The sequence below is a fragment of the Homo sapiens genome, chromosome 12, assembly GCF_000001405.40.
Source record: "Homo sapiens chromosome 12, GRCh38.p14 Primary Assembly".
In the NCBI taxonomy this organism is placed as follows: Eukaryota; Metazoa; Chordata; class Mammalia; order Primates; family Hominidae; genus Homo; species Homo sapiens.
In genome coordinates, this window is record NC_000012.12 from 116,454,160 (window position 1) to 116,464,047 (window position 9,888).

General features: G+C 50.1%; 2 annotated features.

Annotated features, from left to right (window-relative positions):
- Nucleotides 486-1,024: an enhancer, noted in NCBI's record as "H3K27ac-H3K4me1 hESC enhancer chr12:116892450-116892988 (GRCh37/hg19 assembly coordinates)". NCBI's record gives its function as "activates a minimal SCP1, AML or CMV promoter by ChIP-STARR-seq in naive H9 embryonic stem cells {active_cell/tissue: H9 hESC(naive)}" and the evidence as "EXISTENCE:reporter gene assay evidence [ECO:0000049][PMID:30033119]".
- Nucleotides 2,745-3,244: an enhancer, noted in NCBI's record as "H3K4me1 hESC enhancer chr12:116894709-116895208 (GRCh37/hg19 assembly coordinates)". NCBI's record gives its function as "activates a minimal SCP1, AML or CMV promoter by ChIP-STARR-seq in naive H9 embryonic stem cells {active_cell/tissue: H9 hESC(naive)}" and the evidence as "EXISTENCE:reporter gene assay evidence [ECO:0000049][PMID:30033119]".

The window sequence follows — 9,888 nt, forward strand, 5'->3', positions numbered from 1 at the left end:
TCCAGGAAGTAGGGGTCAAAAAACAACCCTCTCTATATATTGCAGCAGTGTAAAGAGCCTTATATGCATTCTTCCCATGTTACAGTGGGGACAGGGGCTCAGAGATGTGAAGTGAGCTTCCCAAGGTCACACAGCAAGTGAGCGGAAGGGCTCTGCGCCTAACTTCCCGTACCACCTCAGGCCAGCTCCTTCTCTACTTGGGGCCTCCGTGTCCCCATCATTGTTCAGATGATCTAGAAGCTCTCGTTCTATTCTTTTTCTTTTTTTTTTTTTTCAGACAGAGTCTCACTCTTGTTGCCCAGGCTGGAGTGCAGTGGTGCGGTCTTGGAACATGGGAGGCAACCTTAGCCTCCCAGGTTCAAGCAATTCTCATGCCTCAGCCTCCCAAATGGCTGGGATTATAGGCACTTGCCACCACGCCTGGCTAATTTTTGTATTTTTAGTAAAGACGGGGTTTCACCATGTTGGCCAGGCTGGTCTTGAACTCCTGACCTCAGGTGATCTGCTGCCTCAGACTCCCAAAGTGCTGGGATTACAGGTGTGAGCCAACATGCCTGGCCTCTCGTTCTCTTCTATATCCAGAGTCCTAACTCCCTCATGGTTCATCTCCTGGGAGGGGCGGGGACGGCTTACCCACCTGTCCTTCACCTGGCCTCCTGACCCACAGGCAGTGCCCCCACATCTGTCCCCAAGGCTTCTCTCCCCTCCCTTCCCTCTCTCCTTCCTGCTGCTTAAGAGCATTATTTGCTTCTTGCAAAATGGCCTTATGCTGGGGAGAGCCCCCTCTGCGTCCTACAGGTATTTCTGCTCTTGGCTGACTTGTTTTCACAGTGCCGATCTGACAGTTCTGCAATGGAAATGAGGGTTTTCTGGCATGGTTGTGGCAGGGTGCGGAAGCTTTACTCAGCTCAGACTCATGACAACGATGATTCCTCATAATAAGCCCTCTCATCTGAGTCAGCTACCCAGGAATTCTATAAAATACGTGGGAAGAGGCCCCTGGTGGGAACTTAGATCCCGACGGTCACTCTTCCTGGTGTGGCTGGTCCTGCCTTAGTTACTGCCACCTCCCTCTGCCCTTCACAGCCAATTCCTACTTCTCCTTCAAGTCTGGTCTAAAATGTCACCTCCTTAGAGAGGCCCTCCCAGATTGCTCATGTAAATAGCCTCTTCCCTCCATTCTCATCCTAGCTTCCTGTTTGCTTCCTTCAGCAGACTTAACCCAAATTACAATTTTACACATTCATGTTATTTGCGGGCTGTTAAGTATTAAAGATTCTGAAAGGGGTGGGGCTGGCGTCACGTTTTTCATTGATCCCTGCCCCAGCTCTGTCAGTGTCTAGCACACAGTAGGTACTCCATGCATTTTCGGTGAATGAATAAAAACATTGTTTGGAGCAGTGAGGGAGGCCCGGGGAAGCTGCTTTTTGGCAGTGAGAACACGCGGAGCTGGAGATCCTCCTGCAGGGAGCTGACTTCATCCTTCTTGTTCCCGTCCCAAACCTTGTCCAGAGGCTACAGGGAGGGAACTGTATGTACAACTATCTTTGCAGCTTTTCAGACTTCCGAACAAGCTGCCTTCCCAAGAAAACACATTACCCAGAGGCTTTTTCTCCCCTCCTGCTCAGACAGGCAGTGGCCCAAGGAACGGCGTTTTGTTTATGATAATAAAGTGGGACCCATGGCAACGCATTGTGATGTCATGGCAGTGTGAGATCATAAATCCTTCCAGGGGAAGAATGAAGCGCAGCGGACACAGTGGCTTCTCAGCCTCCCCTGGCCCAACTGAGGCTGTTGCTAGATATGTTTTTCCTGTATCAGGTGGTTCATTTCTTTTTTTCTTTTTCTTTTTGCCTCTTGATCTTTTTTTTCTTTTGTCCCTAAAGAAAAAAAATTAAAATAAATAAATAAAAGTTTTAAAAAAACTCTGAGTGGAAAGATTTGTCCCAGGAATTTCCTGCTGGCTAATGTCCAGTTCGCAGAGAATGCCAGCAATAATGGGAACAATGCTCACTCGTCCCGGACCTGTGATGAGAAAACTTTCCCAATTCCCCAGTTCCGTGGCTGAAATATGGCAAAGCCTTGGAGAGTTACTGGGCAGCGGACCATGGAGTTTGCAAGGAAAGATGTCCCTTGCTCACACTCTTAGTCTGCCCGTCCACCGTCAACCTTTCTCTCTCTTTTGCTCCTTCTCCATTTCTGTTTCTTCTTGCCACTCTCAATCTGTCTGGCTCTCTCTTACGTGGGTTTTCCGTTGTTTCTCCACCACTCTCCGTTTGTCCCTCTCCAGCTTCGTCTCGATCTCTCTTTCTCAGTCTCAGTCTGTGTTTTTCTTTCTCCACATTTCATTCTCCTGCTGAGTCTGTCTGTCCCTCCCAGGCTCTGTCCTGGTGGTCCTCACTGGTTTTGACTCGCTGTTTCTCTCTTTCCCCACTCACTTTCCTCCTCCCTTCCCTCTGTGCTTATGTTACTGAAGGAAATCACATTTGGAACTCTGAGGACTGAAGAAGGGCAAAGCTGCCCCTGGGGTTTTGTGATCTGCAAGCTGAGTGGCGACGGGTCCCTATTTCCAGGGTGGGTGTTCCGCGAGGCAAACCAGACCCCGACGCAGGATATCTACCCCCATTCAAGGAATATGTTGAGCCTGTGATACAGGAGCTGGAGAGAAGGTCACTGGCCAGTCTGCCAGGGCCTGTAGACTTTCCAGCACTTCTCCCTGCCAGCCCCACCCATGCCTTCTCTGCTACCATCCTCCCCACCCTCAGCACACACTGCAGATGGGGAGGAGAGGCGCTCACTTGGCGGGAGGAGGGAAGGGAGGGGAGTAGGCTCTTCCAATCTTTGGCCACCCCAGGGCCCTTGTTCTGCCTGGAGCCTCCTTTTGACAACCCATATTCTGTTCCGCAACAGCCCCCATACTTAATCTAAATCTGGGTTTTTCAGCCTCAGTCCTATTGACATTCAGTGCTGGATGATTATTTGCTGTGGGGGACTGTCCTGTGTTGTAAGATGTTTAGTGGCATCTCTGGCCTCTATTAGATGCCACCACGAACAACTCCCCTCGCATGGTCACAGCAAAAATGACTCCAGACCAAATGTCCTGTGGGGGTAGCGATGGGGGGTGGGGTTAAAACCACCCCTGGCTGAGAACCACTGGTCTAAACCATCTCTGCTCCTGCTCCTTCCATCCACATTCCTCCCTGTTACTCTCATTTTCTCTCTTGCTAAAACCCTCCATGGCTCCCTATTATTATTAGTAGTAGTAGTAGTAGCAGTACCATGAATATCATAGCAAACACCTATATAGGGCTTTCTGTGTGCCAGGGATTTGGCCATGTGCTTTGTGTATATATTAACTAATTTCCTAGCCCCTATCTCACGGGGCTGTTGTGAGGTTGATCATGAGAAAGCAACATAGCACCTAGCCCAGTGCTAAGAGGTTGTTATTACTACGAGTCTGTGGGTCTTAGTGTCCCTAAGCCACACCCTGTCATGCCACTATGCTTTTGCACCTACCTTTCCCACTGCCTGGACCTACTTTGCCCCCTTTCTCCACTTGGTGCCCTTCTCCCCCACTGGGACCTGCTTCCCATCTGAGTGGCTCTCCCAAGACTTTCCTCTGGGCCTAGAGCACCCTGGGCCCCTCCACTGGAGGCTCCTATCTCCAGTTCAGCAGACTGACCAGGAGCTGGAGGTGGTACAGGGGCGATGGTTTATTCAGGGGTACTGGGTCTGGAGGTTCTTCTTGTTCTTTCTTTTTTTTTTTTTGATACAGTGTCTTACTCTGTTGCCTGTCGCCTAGGCTGGAGTGCAGTGGCATGATCTCAGCTCACTGCAACCTCCATCTCCTGGGTTCAAGGGATTCTCCTGCCTCAGCCTCCCAAGTAGCTGGGACTACAGGCGCCTGCCGCCAGCCCAGCTAATTTTTGTATTTTTAGTAGAGGTGGGGTTTCACCATGTTAGCCAGGCTGGTCTCGAACTGCTGACCTAAAGTGATCTAATAATAATAATATGGAGTCATGGAGGGTTTTAGCAAGAAAGAAAATGAGAGTAACAGGAGGAACGTGGATGGAAGGAATAGGAGCAGAGATGGTTTAGACCAGTGGTTCTCAGCCAGGGGTGGTTTTAACCCCCATCCCCCACAGCTACCCCTGCAGGACATTTGGCCACACCTGCAGTCATTTTTGTGTAGGTCTGAGGTTGAAAAACCCAGGTTTAGATTAAGTATTGGGGCTGCTGCAGAACAGAATCCGGCCTGGGTCTGCAGGTTATAATGAATAAGGGCGAGTACCTTTGGTGGGAAACCTAAGAATGATGAGGGCAGAAATAAGCATCAAAGTCCCACCATACCCTCCATCCCCCCAGCCCCCCCACCCCCCATACCCCCATCCCCACCTCGGTCTCAGGGCTACACCTATCCTCTATACTGTCTCCCTGGTGCCATGTGACCCAAACCCGGCCAATGAGATGAAGCCACGCCCCTGGTCACAGTCAATGGCTTGTGGCTGTGCACGTGACTTCACTTGGTCCAGTGACATTTTTGGACACGAGGTGGGGTTAAAGGTGAACCTGGGTGCGGCTCCCTGCAGTGGTCCTGTCGGGAATCAATGTCAAGAAAGCTGGGACTGAGATGGAGCTGGAGGCTGGAGGCCGCTATTTGAGGCCTGTGGGCAGGCGGTGCCGGAAGTTCTGCCTTGGGCTCCCCACCTCCGGGGCCCTGAGTCCGTCTGTTTCCCTGAAGCTGTTGGGAGTTGGTTTTCTTCCTTCTCCCTCAGTCACGCCCCCGACTCCCATGCTGGTGCCTTGTGCCCCTTGGTCTTCCCACCCTGCCTTTCGAAACCCTCCTTTCTGTGGAGCCCTGGGTTCTTCCCATCTCAGACATGAATCCTCCAGAATTAATGAGAACCCCTGGGGCCCCCGCTTAGCCCTGCACACTGGGTTTGCAGACCTCCCTCCCCAAGCTCGAGGTGATGCCACAGGAACTGAAAACGCATCGACGGGCCCCCAGGGAGGAGGAGGGGACTGCCCAGTGGCTCTCACTTTAGGGTCTGTCTGCTTAGGGCCAGATCTAGACACGCAGACCTCCCGCAGAGCAACTGGAAAGCCCGATGTGGGGGCGAGCTCGGGGAGCCCACATCTGCACGTGTCCTTGTACAGGGTGCCCCAAGTTCTACCACAGCCCCAATGCCTCTTTGCACAGCCCTCCCCTCCGCCCTGCGCCTCCAGCTGCAGCAAAGGCAGCTCACTAAAAAAGTGAGCTGTGGTGGGGAGGCTTGGGGGGCAGGAGGGATGGCAAAAATCACTCATGTGGATGCAACTGTACCTTCTAAAATGAAGTACAGATGGGCAAATTAGGGTGCTCATGTGTATGCAAACCCTGTGTATGAACTAACGTGCGTGGCATGCTGCAGATCACATTTTCATACCAACAGCATGGCTTTAGTGCATTAGGCATAGGCCCGCGTACACACACACACGCACACACACACACGTATACACACCAGTGTTAAGCACTTTTAAGCACCACTCCATGAAGGATTCTGAAATCCTAAATTGGGGACAAATGTGCGGCAGGGTGCTGCAAAGACAGTGAGTGTTGGGAGAAGCCAAGAAATGATTCTTCATTGTATACACGGTGTCCTCCACCTACTCCAAATGTAAATGGCCCCCAGTATCTGGGGTTCTGGGAAGCTGGCAAAGCCACCCCCAACCCAGCTACTTTCTTGCCACTTTCCATCCTCACGCCCAGATGGTGCCCAAGATATAATCGCCATATAACCCCCCTCCCCAAGGCTTCAAGCCATGGAATAAATTTCGAGCCATGCTATAAACTGTGCTTTTGGATGTCATTGAGCGCGCCCGTGCCAATGACATCACTGTTTCCATGGCAACTAATATAATTAACATGAGAGAAAGTGCAAGGAGAAAGAGAAGGAAAAGAGGGAAAACACCAAGTCCAACCCCAAACAGAGAAAATTACACGGTGGGGGAGAGGAGGGGGGCAGAGGGGCCTATAAAATGTTTTACTGCTACTTGTTAGAAAGGCCCGGCATAACTCCGCTCATAGCTGTGGGGGTAATGAGATCATTTGCAAACTGTATCTCTTGCAAAATACAGAAAGGGCTTTGTCGCCTTCACAGTTTATGGAGTTGAAACAGAGGAGCCTGCTCCAGGTGAAGCGGGAACTCCTCCATCTCCTTCCCGGTTCAAGGTTCTTATTAAGCCAGGTCTGCTCTACGCCGGACTCGAAGAGACATAAGCACACCCAGGTTTGGTCCTCTGGGTGTTCATATTCCCAGACGGGAAGTGTGAACACATTGAAACATATCCAGGCGTGAAGCAGAGATGGGCAAGGAGATAAAGCAAACACTCATACTTCTGTGTACAGCAGCAGCACCTCATACCCAGGCTGGGCATTCCAGCTCATAAAAGTCGTTGGCCAGGCCTGGTGGCTTGTGTCTGTAATCTCAGAGCTTTAGGAGGCCACAGTGGGAGGATGGTTTGAGTCCAGGAGTTTGAGACCAGCATGGGCAACACAGCGAGACCTATCTCTAAAAAAATAAAAATAAGAAGGCTGGATGCGGTGGCTCATGCCTGTAATCCCAACATTTTGGGAGGCCGAGGCAGGCAGATCACCTGAGTCCAGGAGTTTGAGACTAGCCTGGCCAACATGGCGAAACTCCGTCTCTATTAAAAATACAAAAATTAGCTGGGGGTAGTGGTGGGCGCCTGTAGTCACAGGTACTCGGGAGGCTGAGGCAGGAGAATCACTTGAACCTGGGAGGCAGAGGTTGTAGTGAGCCGAGATCACGCCACCGCACTGCAGCCTGGGTGACAGAGCGAGGCTCCGTCTCTAAGAAAATCAGCTAGGGGTGGTGGCGTGCACCTGTAGTCCTAGCTACTTGGGAAGTTGAGGCAGGAGGATCGCTTGAGCCCAGGAGTTTGAGGCCGCAGTGAGCTATGATCATGCCACTGCACTCCAGCCTGGGTGGCAGAGTGAGGCTCCATCTCTAAAAAAGTTAACAAAAGAGTCTCAAGTGCACTGTCTTGATGAAGCTTAGTCCTAGGTGCCTGGAATTTTACTCCCATTCAACAGATGAGCACATCGAGGCTCCAAGAGGAAAGCCAACTGGCCTGAGTTGGCCAAGCTGAGCCTTGAACCCAGCTCTGTCAGACTCTGAGGCACTATTTCAGAGTTGTCGGCCTGCTTAGGGTGGAGTCTGAAGAAATCTTTCGTCCAGTCCTGGCTTTCATCCTGTGAGCACTAGTTTAAATCATTCTTCCTCACTATGCCTCGGTTTCTCCAGTTTCCACTACTTGACACGGTCAGAGTCGGAAGGGTGTGGAAGAAATGCACCATCCCAGTCCATGGCCAACCTCAGGAAGTCCATCCCAGTCCATGGCCAGCTGGGCCTGCGAGAGCACCTCACCCAAGGCTTTCAACCGCCATCTGACAGAGACGTGGGGTTCCTCAGAGAGATTTGGGGTGCATATGGGGTTGGGGATGCTAGGAATAGTGGGGGCAAGACTGCTACTTAATTTGTGGTGTCCATGTAAAATGAAAACATGAGGCCCTTATTCAAAAAGAGGGCACTGTACTGTTAAAAGTACTAAAATAGTGGCCAGGCGCGGTGGCTAACACCTGTAATCCCAGCACTTTGGGAGGCCGAGGCGGGTAGATCACTTGAGGTCAGGAGTTTGAGACCAGCCTGGCCAACATGGTGAAACCCCGTCTCTACTAAAAATACAAAAATTAGCTGGGTGTGGGGGCGGGTGCCTGTAATCCCAGCTACTCAGGAGGCTGAGGCAGGAGACTTGCTTGAACCCGGGAGGCAGAGGTTGCAGTGAGCTGAGATTGGGTCACTGCACTTCAGCCTGGGTGACAGAGGGAGAGGGAGACTCTGTCTCAAAAAAAAAAAAAAAAAAAAGCAACTTGACCATGGAGAAACCCGAGAAACTCTACCTTACCAGGTGATCAAGGTCAGCAACCGTGAGATTGTGTTGATAGTATGGATTCTTGCTCTGATAGTATGGATTCTTGCTCTGATGTAATAAGAATCACATTTTATCTCTGGGTCTTCCTCCCCAAAAGGCATAACCCTGGTGTCTTAGTCTGTTTTGTGCTGCTCTAATGAATACCTGAGACTGGGTAATTTATGAAGAACAGAGATTTATTTCTTGCAGCTCTGGAGGCTGAGAAGTCCAAGGTCGAGGGGCCTGCATCAGCAAGGGCCTTCTTGATGTGTCTTCTGATGGTGGAAGGGGGAGAGCAAGAGAGCACATGGGAAGTGGGGAGAGAGAGAGGGAGGGAGGGAGAAGCAGGGAGAGAAAGAGAGAGAAGGGAAGGAAAGCGAAAGGAGGCAAACTTATCCTTTTACCAGCAACTCATTCCCAAAATAACTAATCCATCCAGATATAAAGGCATTAATTCATTCTTGAAGGCAGAGCCCTCACGACCTAATCATCTCTTAAAGGTCCCACCTCTTAACACTATTGCATTGGAGATTCAGTTTCCAACATGCGAACTTTGAGGGGACACGTTCAAAGCACAGCACCTGGTCCAGTTCTGAGAAAAACATTCCCACAGACGGACTTTCTCCAAAATATCTGACTAGTACTCCTCAAAACTATCAAGGCCATCAAAAACAAGGAAAATCTGCGACACTGTCACAGCCAAGCAGAGCCTGAGGAGACATGAGGACCTGAGTGTAATGTGGGATCGTGGATGAAATCCTGAAACAGAAAAAGTGCATTAGGGAAAAACTAAGGGAATGTGAATAATAAAGTATGGGTTCTAGTTAATAATAATGTCATCAATACGGGTTCATTCATTGTAATACATGTACCATACTAATATGTTAATTATAGGGGAAACTGGGTGTGGGGTATATGTGAATTCCCTGTACTGTCTTCACAGTTTTTCTGTAAATCTGAAACTGCTCTTAAAAATGAAGTCTATTGTCCAGGTGCGGTGGCTCATGCCTGTAATCCCAGCACTTTGGAAGGCCGAGGTGGGCGGATCATCTGAGGTCAGGGGTTCGAGACCAGCCTGAGCAACATGGTGAAACTCTGTCTCTACTAAAAATACAAAAATTAGCCAGGTGTGGTGGTGCATGCCTGTAATCCCAGCTACTCAGGAGGCTGAGGCAGGAGAATCGCTTGAACTTGGGAGGTCGAGGTTGCAGTAAACTGAGATTGAGCCACTGCACTCCAGCCTGCGAGACAGAGTGAGACTCCATCTCAAAAAATGAATGAATAAATAAAGTCTATTAAGAAAAGACAAGACACTCCAACACCCCCTCCCCACACACACACCTAGTCCAAAGCCTTCATAGAATGGATGAAGGCAACACAGTGAAGTGTTCACAATCATGGACTCTAGAGGCAGGAGATCTGGGTTCAAATCCTTGTTGTGCTACTCCAGCTGTGTGACCTTGGGCAGCTGACTTGACCTCTCTGAGCTTTAGTTGTCTCATATGTCAAAAGGAGGTGAAATTAACAGTTCTACCATCACAGAGTTGTAGAGATCAGAGGGGGGACTTCAAATGAAGGCATAAGACTTGGCCAAGCTGGTGAGGCTGCACTCTGGGGTGGGGATCCACCCATAGACAAAAATTAGCTGGAGCCTTTTCCATCTGCATCAGCGCAGCCCTGGGACAGAGCATGTCTTTTGAACATATCTATTATACATCCAGGAATGGCTTGGTTTACATGATGACCTTATTGAGTAATGGCAACTCTTAATGCAAAATGCCAGAGTTCACACCTGGTCACTGGGTTGTATCATTGGCCTTCAAAAAAGATGGTGTGATCGCAAGTTTTCTATGATAAAGACACATTCAAAAAGAAATGAGGGTCAGTCCAGATGCAGGAGCTGTGGTATTGGAA